General features: G+C 39.5%; 1 protein-coding gene across 4 annotated transcripts in view, besides 1 other annotated feature; it reads left to right on the top strand.

The window, feature by feature from the left end:
• Positions 1 to 22,669, top strand: part of MYH10 (myosin heavy chain 10) — a 156,514-nt gene that overhangs the window by 32,371 nt on the left and 101,474 nt on the right. For 2 of the 4 annotated variants that reach the window (NM_001375266.1, NM_001256012.3), the window contains exons 4-6: positions 9,247 to 9,274; positions 21,017 to 21,119; positions 21,683 to 21,712. In NM_001375266.1, coding sequence (NP_001362195.1) covers positions 9,247 to 9,274; positions 21,017 to 21,119; positions 21,683 to 21,712 — 161 coding nt within the window. The remainder of the gene's footprint in view (positions 1 to 9,246; positions 9,275 to 21,016; positions 21,120 to 21,682; positions 21,713 to 22,669) is intronic. The other 2 variants (NM_001256095.2, NM_005964.5) reach the window with 2 other exon arrangements.
• Positions 16,935 to 17,034: an enhancer, noted in NCBI's record as "active region_11699". NCBI's record gives its function as "activates an Ori minimal core promoter by ATAC-STARR-seq in GM12878 lymphoblastoid cells {active_cell/tissue: GM12878}" and the evidence as "EXISTENCE:reporter gene assay evidence [ECO:0000049][PMID:35858748]".

Genomic DNA, 22,669 nt, shown 5'->3' with positions numbered 1-22,669 from the left:
GGCAAGTGTGATCAAGAAGACAGAACTACCAGAAATGACAAAGAGTATATAGAACACCATAAGCAAAGACAAAATTGACTCAAAATAAGGTGGAAAACTTAACCAGAACATTGTCCATGGGAGAAGTAGAAGAGATTGTTGAAGATCTATCTTTATGTCTTCAAGACACAAGGCCCAAACAATTTTAGTGGTCAGGTCTGTCAAATCTTAAGGACTAGGGTGGCATGCGACTGTAGTCCCAGCTACTCTGGAGGCTGAGGCAGGAGAATGGCCTGAACCCGGGAGGCAGAGCTTGCAGTGAGCTGAGATCACGCCCACTGCACTCCAGCCTGGGTGACAGAGGGAGACTCCGTCTCAAAAACAAACAAACCAAATCTTAAGGACTAGGTACTTCCTATGTAATCTAAATGGGTTAGACCATTAAACAATGCAGAGTAGGCCGGACACAGTGGGTCACGCCTGTAATCTCAGCACTTTGGGAGGCTGGGGCGGGTGGATCATGAGGTCAGGAGTTCGAGACCAGCCTGGCCCACATAGTGAAACCCCGTCTCTACTAAAAATACAAAAAAAAAATTAGCCGGGCCTGGTGGCGGGCACCTGTAATCCCAGCTACTTGGGAGACTGAGACAAGGAGAATCCCTTGAACCTGGGAGGCAGAGGTTGCAGTGAGCTGAGATTGCACCATTGCATTCTAGCACAGGCGACAGTGAGACTCCATCTCAAAAAAAAAAAAATGAGTAAACTATATAGCATCAAGATCAGAATTTGTCAAAGAAATTTGAATGCTTAAATTATGTTTTACTTTTTAATTAAGGCAACATATAAAGATAGTTTTAAAAAACAGAAATACACAGTAGAATAAGACATAAAACTGGAGATACCCTAACTATTCTGGATTCCCTCTTTAGGAATTTCTTCTTACATATGTACATATATAAATAAGTATATAAGTATATAAATAATTATTAATAAGTAAGAAGCCTATGATATTCTTTTTCTTTCTTTCTTCTCTTTCTTTCTTTTCTTCTCCTTTCTTTTCTTTCTTTCTTGTCTTTCTATCTTTAGACTGCCTATTATGGAAGAAGAGTTTTTATACTCATCTAAACCCTCCCCATATCTTCCTGATAGAAGTTCAATCAACATTTTACATTTTAACATTCAACATTTTAATTATTATCCTATGATTACATTTCCTTTCTTATATAATTTGTTTTCTTTGTGGTTAGTATTTTTCCCATTTTGGGGACTAGGGTAGTTTTGCAATCACCTACATCAATTTGAACTACACATCCTCTTTCAGTAGACACAAGTGCATCAAGTAATTTCTCAGGGTCTTTCCCCCTTGACGACGCACCTCCCAAAGCCTGTTATCCTCCTCCAGTTCGTGCTTGTTTCTTTAGACTTGCCTTTGCCCTTACGTAATCTAGAAATTCCTTTTGCTTCTTTCCTTGGTTGTATTAATTTATGGATCTCATATGCTGTTAAAATTTTTGGATAGAGGATAACCTCTGGTAGCTTCCTGAGAAACACTGGAAACAACCAATTATTATATCAATAAGTAATTAATTAGAGGATGGCTCATCCATACAGTGAAATGGCAAGCAGCCACCTTGAAAAGATGTTAGGACTACTGAGTGATCTTGTGAGGGTAACAGGTAGACCTACTCCCCCTCCCTCCTACTCCCCCTCCCTCCTACTCCCCCTCCCTCCTACTCCCCCTCCCTTTTAAGAATAAGCATTTTAAGAATAAGGTTGCTACACATCAAAATGTGAACCTTGAGAAAGCAAGTTGAAGGACTTCGAAACTGGATACAAGTTTCCTACATTAGGAGAAATAAAAGCAAGGAAAACAAGCCATTCTATAAAAGAAACATCAAGGAAGGCTTTAAAAAGTCAGAAAATGGGCCAGGCACAGTGGCTTACGCCCATAATCCCAGCTTGGGAGGCTGAGGCAGGTGGATCACCTGAGGTCAGGAGTCGAGACCAGCCTGGCCAACATGGTGAAAACCCCATCTCTACTCAAAATAGAAAAGAATTAGCTGGGCGTGGTAACTCATGCCTGTAATCCCAGCTGCTCAGGAGGCTGAGGCACGAGAATCACTTGAACCTGGGAGGCGGAGATTTCAGTGAGCCAAGATCGCGCCACTGCACTCCAGCTTGGGTAACAGAGTGAGACTCTGTCTCAAAAAAAAAAAAAAAAAGTCAGAAAATATGTAACACCAAATATAGCACTTATAACAATAAACATAAGTACTTTTAACACCCCTGTAAATAAAAGAGAGCCTAATACACTCATATGCCATTTACAAGAAAGACATCTCAAAGTAGCAAAATAATAAAAGTACAAGACTGGGCAGATACCTCAGCCAAATACATACAAAAAGAAAGCATAGTCTAAAGTCACTTCAGCCTAAAGTAGACCTCAAAGCCAAAACAAGGACAAAGAGCATTATTTTATGTCAGGAAAAGGAACATTTAATAGTGATTTATAGTTGTCTTGGATCTTTGTATTGAATCTTCTGATGTAGAGATATAGACAGTAGGAACTATCCCTCCTCACCACCCTGTGAAGCTGTAAGATATGGTAAAACCCTTGCACTGACACCGTTAAACAACTGTTCTTGGGCCGGGCTTGGTGACTCATGCCTGTAATCCCAGCACTTTGGGAGGCCAAGGCAGGCGGATCACCTGAGGTTGGGAGTTCAAGACCAGCCTGACCAATATGGAGAAAACTGTCTCTACTAAAAATACAAAATTAGCCGGGTGTGGTGGCGAATTCCTGTAATCCCAGCTACTTGGGAGGCTGAGGCAGGAGAATCGCTTGAACCCGGGAGGCGGAGGTTGCAGTGAGCGGAGATCACGCCATTGCACTGCAGCCTGGGTGACAAGAGCAAAACTCTGTCTCAAAAAAAAAAAAAAAAAAAAAAAAGAACTGTTCTTACTGGGGAGACAGCATACAAATAAAGACAATATTGAGTAGTATGAGGAAAACGAAAAGAGGGTGAGGGCACACAGATTGAAGGGATTAAGGAGAGTGAAATGGCGATTTCATAAGGCGATTAGTTTTAAAATGTCCAAAAATCATTAGGTTTCTTATGAATCACCCATTATCCTTTACTGTAGCCAAAAATAAATAAACGCTAGGAATAAACACTAGTGCTGCCGTTTCGAGAATGTCCTATAGTCATCCACACTTTAACCTTTTGAGTGTGGCTTCTTTTTTTAGCATAATGCATTTGAGATTCATTCACCAGTAGTTCATTCTTTTTTAGTGCTGAGTAATAGTCCATTATATGCATATTCCATGGTTTATTCACTCACCATGTAAAGAACATTTAGATTGTTTTCAGTTTTTGGCAATTAAGACACTGTACAGTTGGCCCTCTGTATTCGTGGGTCCCACATTTGCAGATTCAACCAACTGTGGATTGGGGAAAATAATGGATGGTTGCGCCTGTACTGAAGATGTACAGACAGACTTTTGTTCTTTTCATTATTCCCTAAACAATACACTATAGCAACTATTTACATAGCATTTTCATTATACTATTATAAGTAATCTAGACAGGACTTAAAGTTTCAATATAGGGGAGGATGTGTGTAGGGTATTTGCAGATACTCTGCCATTTTATATAAGGGACTTGAGTATCCATGGATTTTTTTATCTGCTGTGGGTTGGGGTTGTCGTGGAACCAATCCCCCACAGATAACGGGGGTCAACATTTGTATACAGGCTTTTGTGTGAGCATAAGTTTTCATTTCATTTGAGTCAATACCTAGGAGTAAGATCGCTGGGTCATATGGTAGATGTGTGTTTAACTTTATAAGAAATTACCAAACTATTTTCTAAAGTGGCTGTGCCATTTTGCATTTCTACCAGCAATAGATGAATTCCAGGTGTTCGCCATCCTTGTTAGCCCTTGGTATTGTCCATCTTTATTAAATTGTATTCTTTCTAATAGATGAGTAGTAGTATCTCACTGTAGTTTTAAGTTGCATTTTCCTAATGCATCTTTTGATGTGCTTATTTTGCATCTGTATATCTTTGGTGAAATGTCCAAATCTTACTATCATTTTTAAAAATTTGATAGTTTTCTGATTTTTCAATTTTGAGAGTTCTTTGTCCTTTCTAGATATAAGTCTTTTATTGGATAAGTGATTTGCAATTTTTTTCCTCCCAGTCTGTGACCTATTTTGGTTTAATTTTTGTATATGGTGCAAAGTATGGGTTGCGAGTCATCTTTTTGCTTATGGATATTCAATTGTTCTAGCACTATTTGTTGAAACAACTATTTCTCCATTGAATTGCCTTTGTACCTTTGTGGAAAATCAACAAAGGTCTATTCCAGGACTCTCTGTTCCTTTGATCTATATGTCTTTCCTTTTGCCAGTATCACACTGGCTTAGTTACAGTAGCTTTACAGTAAACCTTGAAATCAGGTAGTGTGAGTCTTCTACCACTGTTCTTTTAAAAAATTCTTTATTTTAGTTCCTTTGTCTTTCCATAGGTATAAATTTTAGAAATCAGTTTGTCGCTTTTTGCCCAAAATATCCTGCTAACATTTTGATTGGATTGCACTGAATCTATAGATCAGTTGAGGCCGAATTAACAACAATATTGAGTCTTCCAATCCATCAACAGTTTGTCTCTCTATAGGTCTTCTTTGACTTCTTTCATTAGTGTTTTGTAGTTTTCAGCATACAGAGATGTTGCGTATACTTCATCAGATTTATAACCAAGTATATCATATACCTTGGTATAACTAAACATTTAATTTTTTTAGTTTTAATGGAACTTTCAAAATTTCAATTTCAAATTGTTCATTATTAATATATAGAAATAGGATATTTAAAATATACATTGACTTTTTTTGCAACCTTGCTAAACTTAGTCTGAAAGGGTTTTTTTGTTTGTTTGTTTGTTTGTTTTTGTGTATTGTAGATTGTTTGGGATTTTCTGTCTATGTCCTCTGCAAACAGAGACATTGCTATTTCCTCCTTTTCAATCTATGCTTTGGATTTTGTTTTCTTACTTTGTAGCGTTGAATAGGAGTGGTGAGAACAAATATCCTTCCCTTGTCCCTGACCTTAGAGGGATAGCATTCAGTTTTTCACTATTAAAGAGGATATTAACTGTAGGGTTGTTTGTGACTGACCTTTATCAGGTTGAAGTTCCCTTGTATTTCTAGTTTGCTGAGTTTTTAAAAATCATCAGTGGATATTAAGTTTTGTCAAACGCTTTTTTACATCTATTCAGATGGTCAGAGGGTGTTTCTTCTTTAAGTCTGTTGATGTGATGAATTAGATTATTCACCTTTGGGATGTTGAACTAGCCTTGCACTCCCAGGACAGACACCATTTGTTCTTTCTGTGCATCATCTTTTATATATATATATATATATATATATATATATATATATAGCTGGATTTGATTTACCAACATTTTGTTAAGGATTTTTGAGCATTTGTTTATGAGTGATATTTATATGTGGTTTTCTTTTATTGCAATGTCTTTTTTTTTTTTTTTTTTTTTTTTTTCTGATTTCATTATCAGGGTAAGGTTTGTCTCTTAGAATGGATTGAGAAATGCTTCTTCCTCTTCAGTTTTCTAAAGAGTTTATATAGAATTGGTGTTATTTATTCCCTACCTGTTTTGGAGAATTTTCTAATAGAGCTATGATTTCTTTGTGAGAAGATTTTTAATTACAATTTCATTTTCTTTAATAGATAGAAGGCTATGCAGGTTACCATTTCTTCTTGAGTGAGTTTTAGTGGTTGTGTCTTTTAAATAATTTATCCCTTTCATCTTAGTTGTTGAATATTTTGTCATAAAGTCATTCTTAATATTTTCTTATTATCTTTTCAATATCCATGGGTTCTTAATCATACTACTTTTTAAAAATTACAGATATTGGCAGTTTGTGTCCTTTTCTCCTTTTTCCTGATTACTTCAGCTAGAGGTTTGTCAATACCATTGATCTTCTCAAAGAAGGAACATTTGGTTTCATTGATTTTTTTTTCTTTTTTCTGTTTTCCATTTCATTGATTTCTTTATCATTTCCTTTCTTCTCCTTACTTTTGATTTAATTTGCTCTTTTCTAGTTTTTATTTAGGTAAGAGCCCAGATCATTGATTTAAAAACTTTCTCATGTTTAGAAAATGATTTGATTCAACATGGATTTATTGCATACCTCCTTATGTGATTTTTAGAAGGTGCTTTGGAAAATACTGAGCTATCAAATGAGTCCCTACTGTTTAGAAGGCTAGTTGCATTTTTGAAAGTGAGTTTTTCCCCCTTTAATATCACCGTAAGGCTCTGTTTGGTTACATGTATAGGGTTTTAGAGTATAAAGATCATTGGAAACTGTCGTAGTCCTGCAGTTGATCCTTGAAGGGTACAGAGGATTCAGTGAAGCAGAGGTGGGGAGTTGATCACAGAGTTGGAGAGAATCTGGGAGGTTGGCAAGCCTATCCCCTGTGTACTGAGGCCCAAAGTTAATACAAGATCAGACAGACAAATAACAAAAATAGATGAGTCTGGCTAGAAGAGAGTTGGTTTTTTGTTGTTGTTTGACAGGGGGTGGGATAGCAAGAAGCGTGGGGGAATGAAGTATGCAGCAGGCTGTAGTGTAGGTCTCAAATTTTAGACATTGATAATAGCATGTACAGACGCAGGAAGAACGCCATTTTGAATGAATTAGGAGGCAATTCGATTTGGGTTAATTTTTGTGTGCTTTGATTTCTTTAATGTGTAAACTACTTTCGAAAAACCATAAACAACTTGGTATAGTGGAGTTCTATAGAAATTGCTAAGACCAGGAAAATTCGGGGGTCTGAAGATTCATATTGAGAGTGAATAAGCAAAGACGTGGTAAAATCATGGTTTATAGGTGAAGAACCAGCCAGCAAGGAATAAATGCCTCATTTATAGATACACAGTTTGTGGCAGAGCTAGAACTAGAAAAGATTCCAGGCCCCATTATCTTGCCAGTGCCCACATGGCACCTAGCACTGGGTTTCTCTCAGCAGACCTCTATTAAAGCTAGCTGTGGCTCACCAAGGCTGTTAATCCTGAGAATAAAGAAGTAAGACAGTCTCGGATCTCAAGCAATGCATTCTAGTGGGCAGTCAACCGCAGTATTGTTTGTCTGATTCTAAAATACACTTAAAAGAAGGCAACATTGGCCAGGTACGGTGGCTCATGCCTGTGATCCCAGCACTTTGGGAGGCCGAGGTGGGTGAATCACAAGGTCGGGAGATCGAGACCATCCTGGCTAACACGGTGAAACCCCGTCTCTACTAAAAACACAAAAAATTAGCCGGGCGTGGTGGCGGGCGCCTGTAGTCCCAGCTACTCAGGAGACTGAGGCAGGAGAATGGCGTGAACCCGGGAGGTGGAGCTTGCAGTGAGCCGAGATTGCGCCACTGCACTCCAGCCTGGGCAATAGAGCAAGACTCCATCTCAAAAAAAAAAAAAAAAAGGCGACATTGAGAAACCTGAGGGAGAGTGTTTGGGAAGGTATTCCTAGAGGAGGTGAAGCTGGATCGAGGCCAAAGGGACATGCAGGAGATATCCCAGTGGTTCTGTGTCTAGGAAGAGTATGTTGGAAGAAAGGATATAGTGTGATCTCTGTGTAAGTAAATGAATAAAGGAGGCAGACATTGACTATGTACTATAAATGTTGGCTGTGGCAGCCAGAAGGAAGAATAACACCAGGTTATGAGCTATTAGAATGAAATTAGGGCCGGGTGCCATGGCTCACACCTGTAATCCCAACACTGTGGGAGGCCGAGGCAGGTGGATCCCTTAAGCCTAGGAGTTCAAGACCAGCCTGGGCAACATGGCAAAACCCTGTCTCTACAAAGATACAAAAATTAGCCGGGCATGGTGGCACCTGCCTGTGGTCCCAGCTACTCAGTAGGCTGAGGTGGGAGGATTACTTGAGCCGAGGAGACGGAGGTTGCAGTGAGCTGAGATCACACCACTGCACTCCAGCCTGGGCAACAGAGCGAGACTCTGTCTGAAAAAAAGAAAAAGAAAAAAGAAATTAGACTTGAGCAGGACAGTACTGTGTTCTTTGTAAATCTCAGTTTATACATAGAGTATATGAATGGATTTGTTTAATAATATTATGTAAAAAAGAATACGACATAGTGAACGGAGCACTTATTTCTCTTTCATGGAAGTTATTTATGCCTAACTGCTGTGAAATCCTCCTTAGGCACCGGAGGCATCCACCAGAGGAAAAGAAAGCACAGCATAGCAAGCAGCAAAAAAGCTACTTGGGCCAGGACTTGTGAGCTCAGTTCCTTTCTAGGCAATGACAAACTTGTTTCGTATTGTTGAGAACACACACAGGTGCTAGAGGCAGACAGGCCTGGGTCCTCATCCTGGCAACCTTGCCCCTTCGTAGCCGTGTCACTTGGGAGGATTACCTAGCCTCCCTGAGGAACATTTTCTCATCTGTGAAATAGGGATAGTAATACTCATAAGTGATTAGAAATTCTGCATCCTCTACTGGTAATTTTGTCCATGGGCTAGATAGTGGTTTGATTTTCACCTTTTTATTTGAAAATTTTAGTTGGATCCTTAAATTATTAATCACTTTAAAATCATGTTAGATTCTTTTGTTGTATTTGGTGTATAAAACATGTTGACTTGAGACTATATTTATAGATGTTTATCCTCCTTCAACTTTCTTTCCACTCAGTGTTTAATACTTTTTTTCCTCCTTTAAGATGACATTAGCAATGATTCCTCTCTGGTTGTGGGTATTCTTGAAGCCATTCTGAAAGGCCGTGGTTTCCAAATCTGGCCAGGTGTCATAATCACCTGGGGCGCTTATTTAAAGAAGGGTTTTTAATCCCCATCTCCCAGAGTTGAATGATTTAGTGAGGTGGAGTGCCAGGAAATACATTTTTATAAAACTTCCCGGTTGAATTTGTATGCGGCAGGGTTTGAGAATCAAGGTTAATTAGGCATATAAAGTCATCCAGGCAAACGATGTGTGGAATAAGCCTGAGTTACTGTTATTTACCCCCAGAGACTCTGGCATAATAATAGGAGATATGAGGGGGTTTGATTAGATTTAGGACTGTATAATGGGGTTGGAGGCATTAACTTGGCTCGAGAGGAGTAGTTACTAATATTTTATAGGCTATTACTGCAACTTTATTATATCAAATATTTTAAAACCAGGCAAATGGTCACTTTCTTTTTTTTGTTTGTTTTGTTCTGTTTTATAGATCGTGAGGACCAGTCAATTCTTTGCACGTAAGTAAATGTTGAATGTTCAGATTTGTTTTTGATTTTCTTGGAAAGTGGAGCAACTATTTTTGTCTGGGGGGAGGGGAGAAGTAGAGCAGTAATTTTTAAGAGTTTGATGTAAACCTCGCAGTTATTTTAAGACTAAGATTATGTAAGTTGCTTAAATTTGGTGTTAATGGTTGGTTGTCAGTCTGGGCTTTTCACACATTTTATAATGTTAATCTGTGAAACTTACATCTTTAGTTCATAGGTCAAAGTGTAGGCCTACTGGACGTTTCAGTAATTTATTCTTTTTACTCAATAAGCATTTACTGATTATCAAGTGCCTACTGTACTGTGTGCTCAGTGTTAAACATTCACAGCAGAATAAAACAATATCCACAACAGGACACAATTAGATTTGCACATTAGAAAGATTACTTTGGCAGCAGTGTGGAAAATGGAGTGGAGGAAGAGTTGAAACAAGAGGACCAGTTAGGAGGCTATTCAGTTATCTAGGCAAGAGATGGTGAGGACTTCAGGTATAGAAGTAGTTATGAACCTAGAGAGCAGTGGTTGCGTTTAAGCGGTGTTCAGTTTAGGAGGCAGATTTACCAAGACTTGGTGATTTACATGCATAAGAAAAAGGAGCTAAGAGAAGGTTTTGTTGCTGAAATCTCCTGACATGGGAACATGGGAGGAAGAACAGGTTTGGAGTGGATGATAATGAGTTTGGTTTAGGACACATTGCATTTGAGGTCCCTATGGCTCATGTAAGTGGAGCTGTCATTGGGCTCTTGGATATGTGGGTTTGGAGCTCAGGAGAGTGAGATCTGTGCTAGAAATGCAGATCTGAAGAGTCAGTGGCATGGAAGGTGATGGAAGCCATGCCGATGAATGAGATTACCTTAGAAGAATGTGTTGAGAGAAAGCAGAGTGTGGAATCCTGAGGAAAGCCTACACTCAAGGGTCAGGCAGAGGAGGAAGAACCACAAAGAAGGCTAAAATGACCCATCATAGGGGCATGAGGAGGCAAGAAGGTGTGGTGGCACAGCAGTCAAGGGGAGAGAGGCATTTCGGGACAGAGGGAGGGGTCAGCACTTCAGATTGAGTGGATGAGATGAGCAGCAGCGTGCCCACTGGACCCAGCAATAGAGAGTGGAGGGTGCTGGAGTGGACTGGGGATAGCGAAGAGGTAGAGAAGCCAGGTGGCAGTTGAGGCATGAAGGGGAGGTGAAAATGTCAAAAATAAAATACAATTTCTAGAAAACTCAAGTATGAACCTGCTACTTTCAGGTAGTTTGGGAAGGTGGAGAGTAGTTGAGTGGTGGTAAGAGATCAATAGGATTTTTGTTTTTGGTGTTTTTAGTGTGGGTGAGATTCAGTGCTGATGAGAGGAAGATAACATTTTGGGAGTGGCTTGGATTTGGGCAGGAAGGAGAATTGAGAGAGCAAGGAGGGTGATGAGGTGCAGAGCACAGGGGTTGGGTGTCTGGGCACAGTGAGGTCCTAGTGGGGGGCGCGACTCTTCTCCAGTGACGGGCCAAGGAGGCAGATGAGTACCAATGCGGGTAAGTAGGGGTGGGGAGCTGTGAATTGAGAAAATTCTAATCTAATGGTTTCTCTTTTCTATGAAGTAGAAGACTTGGTATTTAATAAGAAAGGGGAGGAGTGGCAGGATAGGAGGTTTGAGGAGATGAGAGTTAGTCAGTCGGCTTTGTTATATGAATTTTTTGCTAGCATTGTTTAGCCTTGAGGAGTTATATAAATTAGCTTTTCCTGAACAGCAAATCACGCTGAAACTTAGTGGCTCAAATCAGCACGGTTCTACAGGTTTCCCAGCAGTTGGATTGGGCTCAGCTGGGCAGTTCTGCAGATCTGGGCCAGGCTCAGCTTTCTTATTGGAGGCTCACTGCTGCGTCTACGGACAACTGTGGGATGGCTGGCTGACTGTTGGTGGGGGTGCCTTGGTTTCTTCTCCACTTGGTGTCTCTTTCTCTGGCAGTCTATCCCTGGCTTTTAACGTGGTAGCAGCGTTCAACAGCAGCAAGAGGGCAAGCTCCAGTGTGTAAGCATTGTTCAAGTTTCTGCTTGTGTCACATTCTGCTGTCCCATTCCCAAGCAAGACATGGCAAGGCATGGCATGAGTCAGGTGGGAAACATCATAAAGTGAGGCATGAAACAATTGGAGCCATTACTTTAGCTGATCCACCGTGGATGTGTTGGAATACAAACAAAACCAGGTGGAGACTTGTACCTTCTCTTAGATGAAGTGGTTTGATGAAGACTTTTGGGAACGTCTGAAAGCAGGAAGCACTTAGGGAGGGAATGACTTGCTGTTTGACAGAACAAAAGTTCGTGAGTACTTATTTTGTTACCCAAAGTGGCCAGTACAGACGCTAGCACTTATGATTAGATGATCGACACCATTTTAGTTTGTACTTTGTCACCAATTAATAGACTTGGATTTATGAGGTAAGTCTTCTAGCACCTGGGTTTATCTCTTCTTGGGTACAAAGGGGCAGTCATCAAGTACCATGTTTGTTTTCTTCCATTCTTTTTTAAATTGCTTTTTCCATTTTATTATGAATATTTTCAGACATAAAGCACAGTTGAAAGAATTTTGCAGTGAACAGCCATGTGTCTACCACCTAGATTCTACTGTTAATATTTCACTGTACTTGCTTTATCCTGTCTGTCATCCATCAGTCCTTCTTATACTGTTTATGTTGGGAGGAAAACTTTTCCTCTTGCAACTTGGGTTCAGGGGACCTGCAAGTTAACTGACAATAGACAGATTAACAGAGAAAAGATAAGACTTATTTACACAAGTGTACTCAGTGATGAGTGTCTCATGGAATTATAGAAATAAAAGGCATATATCCTCTCCCTGACAAAAGGGTCCTGTGAAGTTTAAGGCTTCAGTGGGAAAGTATGGAGGGTTCTCTTGGTCTATTTGATGCTGATGAACAGCTGGGTTCACTCTGTTCGGTGCTAAAGGGCATGCTTTTCTCAATCTGGGAACCTCCCTGGGAGGGGTCAGTGGCAGCTGCATATACTGGGGGGTCCTGCTAAAGTTTAGATGATGTTTCCTTATGTGGCTGCTGAGATGTTTTCAGTTTAAAGTGATTTTCATACCACTTTAGTGGGCTATTAATCCCTTCATTTGATGCATTTCAAGTTCAATTGTAGATAGACATCAGTACACTGTCCCCTAAGTACTTAAGCATATAGTGTTAACTGAAGCCCAGTATTTTCATCTTTTTCTTTTGAAACAAAATTTACTTAGAATTAAATGCACAAACCTTAATTATTCATTTCCTAAGTCCTTGTATAACCCAAACCGTTATCCAGATGTAGACAATAATACCATCACCCCAGAAAGTTCCTTCTCCTGTCCCCCCGTACTTACCTACCTCCACCTCTCTCAGCCTCATTATAGTTTAAAATTTTTTAGATACCACTGATATTTAGTAACAGCTTTTCATGTTCATGTCTATTATAAAGTTACATTGTGCCCTGAAAAATATGAAAAAGTTAAACAATGTATCTTAGATTTAGGAAAATATGATATGTTCCATGGTGCCTTTGAGGATCCACCAAATACAGTACTCCAAGTGTGTGTGACTGGGGTCTTCATAAACTTAGTCCACCGCCAAGCTAATTAAGTTTTCTGCATAAGATAACTATTTAGGGGCAGTCACTCTGTGATTCTCCCCATGCTCATGTTAAATAAATTTGTATGCCTTTTCTCTTATTAAAAAACTGTTTAGTCAACTTCACAAACTTTCCATATGTAGCTATATATATATATATATACACACACACACATGCACATATATATACACATATATAGATATATACACATATATACACACACATATATGTACACACACACACATATATATATATAATATACACACACACACACATATATATATGTAGTACGACCAAAAGAAAATACAGGCCAGGCATGATGGCTCACGCCTGTAATCCCAGCACTTTGGGAGGCCAAGGTGGGCGGATCACCTGAGGCTGGGAGTTCGCAACCAGCCTGACCAACATAGAGAAACCCCGTCTCTACTAAAAATACAAAATTGGCCGGGCATGGTGGTGCATGCCTATAATCTCAGCTACTTGAGAGGCTGAAGCAGAAGAATTGCTTGAACCCGGGAGGCGGAGGTTGTGGTGAGCTGAGATTGCGCCATTGCACTCCAGCCTGGGCAATAAGAGCGAAACTCCGTCTCAAAATAAGTAAATAAATAAAAAATAAATACAACTAGATGCAACATGGTTTTATTATTATTTCTTAATCAGTATTAAGTAGTTTGATAGCATCTCCTTAAGCTTTTGAGAAAGAAAGCCTTTTTATGTGAGGAATGCAAGCCCCTTTAAATTATCAGGCCCAGAGAGGCATTGGACGGAAACAACAGTTTCACTCCCTCCTTGAACTAGATAATTACCTCTTAAAGCCACCTGTTAAGTGTGCTCTAGACTGATGCCAAGTAGCCAAAAAATGCCATACACTAGACACTATAACTCACCCCTGTGGTTCAACAGTGTGTATCCAATCACTAATCAATGTTATCTCTGTAAACCAGTGAGAATTCCTGTCACACAGCTTTGTATCAGCCCACTCTTTGTACCCTCTTTCCTTTAAAAACTGCTTGTAAAAAAGGCCCAAGGCAAGTTGAAGTGTGTCCTGGGCAGCTGGCTTCAACCTTGGCCCAAATACACTTTCTATATTAATTTTGCCTCAGCATCTTCCTTTAGGTCAGCATTTCACTTTTTCAGTCATTTATTCTGTAATTTGCTTTTCCCCCAAAAGGATATACTTCTTAATTTACACTCTGGCCTTATCTGCCCATAGTTCCCCAGGTAACCTTTTGTTTCTGCAAACTCAGGCCAGGCCTTGTGAGCTCCCACTTGCAAGCCGCCTGTTTAATGCTTGTTTATCTGAGTATCCTAGTATTCTCGTGTGTGGTGAAGACACTCAGGCTGCATGCATCCTCTCTCAGGAGAGAGTGGTCTTTCACACTTGCACCCCCATAGAACTGGAGGTGAAATCCTGCTACAGTGTAATCCTCATGTTGATTTTCCTTCTCATCAGAATTAAAATTCACAAAGCAGTCACCCTTGATGAGGAAATTACTCTGTTCTCTTAAACCCCCCTTTTAAAGAATACTCTGTTTATGTTTTATGACTCTAACTGCTTTAGGCAAGTTGGTTTTCTCCTTTTGAGTATATTTGAGTATAATGTAAAAATTATAAAATAATGGTTGCCTCACAATGGCCTATTAAGATGTGACAGTCGATGTTTTTGTAAAGGAATCTTATCTATTATATACAAATATTACATTAAGTAATGATAGCCAGCCAGCCAGGATTGAGAACAGTTGATTCCTGCTAGGAATAACATGCGTTAAAAGTTTTAAGGCAGCTAAATTGATAGAATTGATTAAACAGCGAAGGCAACAGTGTAATGTAGTTGAAAAAACATTGTGTGGTCAGATAGAACTCTGGTGTTCTTTCTTCTCCCAGCTCTGCCATGAACTATGTGATTCTGGATCAGATTGTCAGCCTCTCTGAACCCTATTGCCATATGAGAATAACTATTTAGGGGGGCTATCAGACTGTGATTCTCCCCACGCTCATGTTAAATGAATTTGTATGCCTTTCCTCTTGTTAAAAAAAAAAAGGTATTATTTAGTTAACTATTTAGTCAATTTGCTTTTCTAATGACTCTATTTTATATGTCCTCAAGTCCTAAAACTTTGGGAATTATTAGATGTGTGTCTCACTTTCGATGACATCTATGTTATGGAAGAAAAAGAAGTATCAAATCAACTTGTAAATAGAAATGTAAAATGTTCTAGGCAAATATGCAAGGAAAGTGAACATGTCTTTGGAAGTGTTCTCTCCGTTAATCTTTGCAATACCTCTGTTATGTCCATTTACTGTCACATTATCCAAGACCTGATGAGGTAGTGCCAGTGCGATAGGGGAGACTTGAGTCCAAGCCTATGTTGATCACAAAATCTCTGCTCTTCCCAGTAAGCTGCTCTCTAAAGAGAGTTTGGAAACTGTAGGAAGTCATCTACTAATGTTATATGTTTGCATAGGTATAGATAATATAGGGGGTAATATGTATCTGGTGTTTTTCAAATCGAGGTTATCTAAAACAAGAACTTCAAGCAGAGGGTGATTTTTGAAGCTAGGCTGAATTCAGTGTTACAAATATCCAGACAAAATAAAATACCAATATTTTTACCAATAAAGATCTGAAAAAGGGGTTTCTCATTGGGGAAATCCCCATGGTCCAGAAGGAATTCAAAGGTCTCAGAATTGGTCACGTATTAATGATCTGCATCACTGCTTCTTTAGGCTGTTGTTTTTTATGTTTTTGTTTTGGATTGCACATCCCTTTGAGAAGCCAAAGCTGTAGACCTATTGAGGAAACGCAAACATGTTCACGTTTAGAAACTCCTGATCTTTTGTGTCCGAATGTGCTTCAACAGATGCAGGACACCTCCAGCTAGAAGCCTCCTTGCTTTGTTCTTGTTAGCTTTGTACTTCTACCACTCTCTTTGAAGGATTTCTTCTCCAAAAGAGCACGATGCTGGGACTGCAGCCTTTCCCCTTAACCATAGTCCTGTCTTAGACCAGCAGTGAAATAACCAGCCACTTAAAGTGTAAGACTGCTTCACCGTTAACATCTCATTTTGTTGATGGAAATGAGGTCAGATTCCCTTTGCCCTCACTCTTTGAGGTCTTGGCCTGTTGTTCACTTTTCTGAGGAGTCTCCTAATTTTCTTAGAGAGAAGTCTGCTGAGCTTTCTTTTTGGCTCTCTTCCCTCTGCTTTTGTTCAAGCTGCTTTTAGTTACCTCCTCTGTTTCCATCTGGGACAGATGTGCCATTTCTCATTGTTTTTTCTATTTTTCCAAGATTTATACTCCTTTGATCCTGCCACCTCCTTCATTAAAATCAGATTTTAAAAATTTCCATTACCATCTTCATCATCATCATCATTGATCATTATCATAACTATTGGTATCACCACTACCATTTATTGAGAGCCTTTTGGCGAGGACAGTGCTAGGCCCTTTCCCGCATTATCTCAGTCCTGTGAAGTCTCATTTTAAAGGCATATAAACTGAGCCTCAGAGAACTGAGTAACTTGCCTAAAGCTCCATAGCTAGGGAGTGGCAGAAGGATTTGAATCTAGGTAGGTCATTTTGATTCTGTAGCTCAGGTTCTTAACCACTGTCCTAACTATTGATTCATAAAGTTTAGTAATTCAAATCACCTCATGTATAGTGGATGAATATATGAGTGGACAATAATGGATAATGTTTATTGAATGTCATCTATATGCTTTAGTTGAGCTGTATTTTTTCTTCAACAACCCTATGTATTAGGAGCTATTATCCCCATTTTATAGTGGGCAATATAAGACCCATAATCTATCCTCTTGGGAGCTCAACAGTAAGGTTTTGAATGTATCTATCTTTGAAGCCATATTTTCTATAGCAGAGTTACCTTAGACCCGAAATATGTAAAATGTAGCACAGCTCATAAGCAATTGTTGAAGTATGGCTGCCTAAGTGTGACAGGCAGGAAAAAATGCTTTAAGGACACGTTGAAGCATGTCCATTGAGGCGGTTAGCTGGGAAACCACAGAGACAAACCAGGCTGGAAAGTAACAATCATAACTATATTTGAGACAAGTCATCATCAGTCTAAAAAAGAGGCCCATTTCTTGGTGTAATAAGAAATTATCTTTTTGAAACCAACAACCAACATCACGATTAATATGGAAACACTCAGTATTTCTAATACTGTTAAGAACAGAACAGAGAGACCACTGTCATAGCTATTAAGAAATTACACTTGAATAAAACCCAGATTCTTTACCATGACCTCCAGGGTCCATGGCACCCCTCCCCTTCCTGCTCCATCTGCCTCTCTCGCCACTCCCTCCCCTGATTGTTATTTATATCAAATCCTGGCACCTGGCCATCAGTCCCTGGACTATGCCAAGCTCTTTTCTGCTTTGGGGTCTTTGCATGTACCTCTCCATCTTCCTGAACACATTCCCCAGCTCTTCACTTGCCAGTTCTTGCTCATCTTTCAAGAGCCTTTCCCCTGACCTTCATATCTAGAGGAGGGGCTGTCCTTCCTTCTCTTTTTCCTTTTAGTGTCTTTTGCAGCATTCCTTATATCCTTATAATCTAATAATCTTTATCTGTTCTTATTTATTTTATGTATGTTCTTCTAACCTTGCACCCCACAAGGACATGGACTCTATTGACACACTATCCCTAGCACTCAGAAGAATGCCTGACACATAGAAGTTGATTTGCAAATGTTTGTTGAAAGAATAAGTGATTGAATGAATGAATAGAAACTATTTTCTTATCTATGTGCCAATAGTAGCCAGGTAGAAAATGTAATGGTGATGAAAAGAGATTGATAGGAACAAAAATTATTAAAAAGAGCCTAGGAGTAAACTTTAAAAATACGTAGGACCTACATTCATTCATTGACTCAGCAGTCTATATCAAGCACTTAACTCTGCCAGGCACTATGATTTTAAGGATAAATAAGGCAAACATGATCCTTGCTTGTTTTGAACTTAGAAAAATACAAAACTTATACCTGGGAGACACAGGGATGAAGACATCATTTCTCCTAAAAAAAAAAAAAATAAGATGAATATTGATACCACTTAACTCAAAATTCTACCTGTCGTTTTTTATTTGGGAGGCAGGGAGATGGGGAAGAGATAACAGAAAAAAACTATTTGAAGTTTACCTAAAAAAAAAACCTCAGCGTCTACTTGATTTCTTTTTGCTCTTTTCAAAAAGAAGGATGATGGTGGGTGCTCTGGTTAGTCACGTTTCAGAACGACTGAATATGGTGCTGGCTTGGAAGTATGCCACAGGTATGGGGAATAAGAAAAAGATAACTTTTTTTTTTTCAGGTGAAGTCTCGCTCTGTCGCCCAGGCTTGAGTGCAGTGGCAAGATCTTGGCTTACTGCAGCCTCCATTTCCCAGGTTCAAGCAATTCTCCTGCCTCAACCTCCCGAGTAGCTGGGATTACAGGCGCCCGCCACCATGCCTGTCTAAAAGATAACATTTTATATCACCTGAGAATGAATGTCTTTGTCAGTCATTGATATTGGGAGGTGGGCTGAATCATCTAGGGGAAACAATTAGATTAAATTCTTACCTGAAATCATAAAATTTTTTTCAGGTTGAAGATTCAGCTGTAAAAAGTGAAGCTATCAAACTTGTAAAAGAAAACAACAGATGGATTTAATAATACAGATGATATAAAAATGAGAGTACAGATTGATGTAATCTTGGTTGCCAGAAAGGCCTCTTTTAGCATGAATAGTGGGCAGAAACCTTAAAATAAAAGTTTGGTAGATTGGAGTACCTAAGATTCAAACACTTGTGGGTGGCAAATCAGAAGGGAACTAATGTTACGATAACATGAGGGGTGGTTAATAAGCTTCACATAGGAAATAGTCTTATAAACCATTAAGTGGGTTATATCTAGAATTGTCAGCTCTTGGAGCTAGAAAGGATCTAATCCAATGCCTGCATTTTACAGATTTGGGATACTGAGGCCCAGAGAAGAAAATTTCTTTACTGAGGCAAACAGTTGGTCACTAGGGTTCCTTCACCCAGTCTTCCCTGCGGTTGAGTTTGTGGTTATCTGGGTGCAGAGTTAAGAAGATAATGCAACCAGTAATTTTTCAGTAAACTACCGAAAAATTTAAGTTTTGGACACTTCAAATAGTACAATTTTTTTTTTTTTTTTAGACAGGGTCTTGCTCTGTTGCCCAGGCTGGGGTGCAGTGGCACAATCACAGCTCACTGCAGCCTCAACTTCCTAGGCTCGAGAGATCTTCCCACCTCAGCCTCCTGAGTAGCTGGGACTACAGGTGGGAGTTACCACACCCAGCTGATTTGTTGTGTTTTTTTTGTAGATGTGGGTCTCATTATGCTGCCTTGGCTGATCTTGAACTCTTGGGCTAAAGCGATTCTCCGGCCTTGGCATCCCAAAGTCCCAGGATGAGCCCCTGTGGCCGGCCCAAATAGTGCAATTCTAAGTACAATTCCAAGAAAGAGTCCAGCTTTGTTAGAAAAATTAGATTTTCAATCCTTAGATTAAATGCTTAGAGGATTATTCGTTGGCAAGGTATATAATAACATTTTTGAGTTTGGGGTGTTTTTTTTAAAGAAAAATTAATTAGATATTGAAATTTTTCTTATAATCCAAATTGAGAATTTTGTTGACTGTAAAGTTAGGTTTGCTTTGATCACGTCTTAGGGGAGCTTCAGTGTTTGAGCAGAGGCCGTAATTCAGGTCTCGCTGTGTGTGTAGCAGCTTGTCTGAATTTCAAGCCTAGTAGTGAGTAGAAATGAAAACTTTTGAAATGTGCCAGCCTTGCTTGTAAATATGAATCATTTAAAATGGTGGCATTTGTCCTCATTCACAACAAAATTCATAGTATTTACTCATTTTGACAACAAATTACGTCTGCCTATGTGTCAACACTGGAAAAAGTTACAAGGATTAAAAAGAAACAAAACACAGGCTGGGCAGGTGGATCACTTGAGGTCAGGGGTTTGAGACCAGCCTAGCCAACATGGCTAGACCCTGTCTCTACTAAAAATACAAAAACTTAGCCAGGCGTGGTGGCGTGTGCCTATGGTCCTAGCTACTTGGGAAGCTGAGGCAGGAGAATTGTTTGAACCCAGGAGGCAGAGGTTGTAATGAGCCGAGATCATGCCACTGTGCTCCAGCCTGGGCAACAGAGCAAGACTTTGTCTCAAAAAAAAAAAAAAAAAGAAAGAAAGAAAGAAACAAAACACAAATAAATAAATATATGAGGCTATAGCCCCTGCCATCAGGAACCCAGCCTATGAGGCACAACACTGGCACCAGGAAGTGAATCGTCACTAGCCTGCTCTGAGAGGGGGATCTGAGAAAGCTTTCAGTGGCTTTGAAGATGAGTATCAATACCAGCAGGCATCTCAGAGTTCTTTCAGCTGCTTCAGATTAAATCATATTAATTTAATTGTTTTAGGGATTCTCTGTTTGCAGTGCCAGATATGTTTATGGTACTGAGGAGTTTTCTTCATGAATGTTCTAATAAATTTCACTTCTCTGGTAGAACCCCCCCACCCCCAAGGGAAAAAAGAGTGTCGTGAACATTTTCCTGTGTCCTCTTACTGGCATCTATCAAGAAATATTTGGGTTGGCTGGGCACAGTGGCTCAGGCCCGTAATCCCAGTGCTTTAAAAGGCCAAGGTGAGCAGATCACTTGAGGCCAGGAGTTCGAGACCAGCCTGGCCAACATGGTGAAACCCCATCTCTACTAAAAATATAAGAATTAGCCGGGCATGGTGGTGTGTGCATGTAATCCCAGCTACTTAGGAGGCTGAGGCACAAAAATTCCTTGAAGCCGGGAGACAGACGTTGCAGTGAGCCAAGATCGCGCCACTGCACTCCAGCCCGGGCAGCAGAGTGAGACTCTGTCTCAAAGAAAAAAAAGAATTATTTGGGTTTATTATTTAATACCTCTTACAAGGATGATTTTCTTTTCTAACTACTGCTGATAGTTATTTTTTCTATTTATTCTTTTTATTTTTATTAATTATTGTTCCAATACAATTTAATTTTATCAGTTGTAATTTTGGAATGCATGTGCTGTGCTTTCGTTAAAGCAGCCTATATTAACTCTTTCTTTCAGGGGTGAGTCAGGTGCTGGGAAGACAGAAAATACAAAGAAAGTTATTCAGTACCTTGCCCATGTTGCTTCTTCACATAAAGGAAGAAAGGACCATAATATTCCTGTAAGTTTCTGCTCTGTTGTTTTTTAAATCTTCTTCTTCTTTTATAATTTCAGAAACAAAAATAAGGAAGCCAGTCTACTCTCCACACTGCTATAACTGACAGCTCCCTTGTCTCCACCTGCTCCCCGCCACCTACCCAGCAATGCTTTTTTCCACCCCAGAGGCTAGGATACAAGGAAATTGCTGTTAAAGAGGTTTTCTGACAGGGCAAACTGGAATTATGGTTGTGGCTTGATGCCTAATTTCTTGCAAAGATTTGCTGAGAATTGTTCAGCAGTTCTTTCTGAACTTGCAGTAGCCTCTTGCTACTACCCACAGCAGCTTGAGGGGAGGGTAGAGATATGGGAAGAAGTGATGACAGAAAAAGGGCAAGAATAGAAATGTCAGTTCTCCTTAATTTTTAGACATGCAGAAGTGGTAGTTAATACAGCCTGAGAGAACGCCAGCCAACCCAGCTTCCACAGTTCTCAACTGCACATTGGCTTGGTGCTTTGGAAATGGCTTACTGCTAGGCAAAGACTCAAACTTGCTAACATTTGCATTTGTCTGTTTGTAATGAACAGCAGGAATCGCCTAAACCAGTGAAACACCAGGCAAGTGCTCTTCTTTATGCTTCTTAGTCTTGAGTGTTTGCACTAATTTCTGTCTGTAGATTGAGTCTCTGCTAGAATCAAATGCCACTAGTTCTAAGTGAAATCTGTCATTAAAAAATTTTAATTTTGAAAATTTATTGCTTAGAGCCTTATTCTTTCTTGAGAAGCGCATGCCGTTTTGCTTTAAATTTGTTTTCTCAATAAATTTTAATATTTATTTGCCCTTTTATCATGACATTGAACTGCATGTTTATGAAGCCTATAAATTATGGTTTCATATGTCATTTACTAGGTGGAATTATTTTAATACTTATCAGACACATGGAAACCTAGCTTTGTGCCCTACACTACATTTTGAATTTGGGGCTGCCCCTTTAAAAATTATACCTTTAGAGCTAACAAATTTCTGATCTGTTAAAGTTTTATGGCATGGCATAGTTTATGCCTGTATGTGTTTTAAACCAAAGGCCCAATTATATTTAATATATAAAATAAATTAGAGCTGGGCACAGTGGTATGCACCTATAGTCCCAGCTGTTTGGGAGGCTGAGACAGAAGGCCTGAGCCCAGGTATTTGAGGCTGCAGTGAGCTATGATCACACAACTGTGCTCCAGCCTGGGCAACGGAGCAAGACCTCATCTCTATAAATAAGTAAAATAAAATCAATTACAATTTTCTTAATGCTGGGCAAGTAGTGGAAGACTGTTATTCTTCCTAGTTATCAGATGCCTGCCTTTTAGCTCCACAGACCATAGCAGTGAAAAAAGCAAGAATCATAGCATGACCTCCATTTCTCACTACCTGGGAGGAGAAGGAGGGCAGACCTGAGCCAGATACCTTGGATAGAGTAGGACATCTATACTTGGATTTAATCCTTTCCCTAGCATGGGAATGGTTTTGGTTGGTCTTCCACAAACATAATGATATAAAGCTGATATAAAGCAAGAAACAATAAT

The sequence above is a fragment of the Homo sapiens genome, chromosome 17 (assembly GCF_000001405.40).
Source record: "Homo sapiens chromosome 17, GRCh38.p14 Primary Assembly".
Classification (NCBI taxonomy): Eukaryota; Metazoa; Chordata; class Mammalia; order Primates; family Hominidae; genus Homo; species Homo sapiens.
Note: the sequence above shows the minus strand (reverse complement) of the source record. Positions and strands in the feature narration are given on the sequence as shown.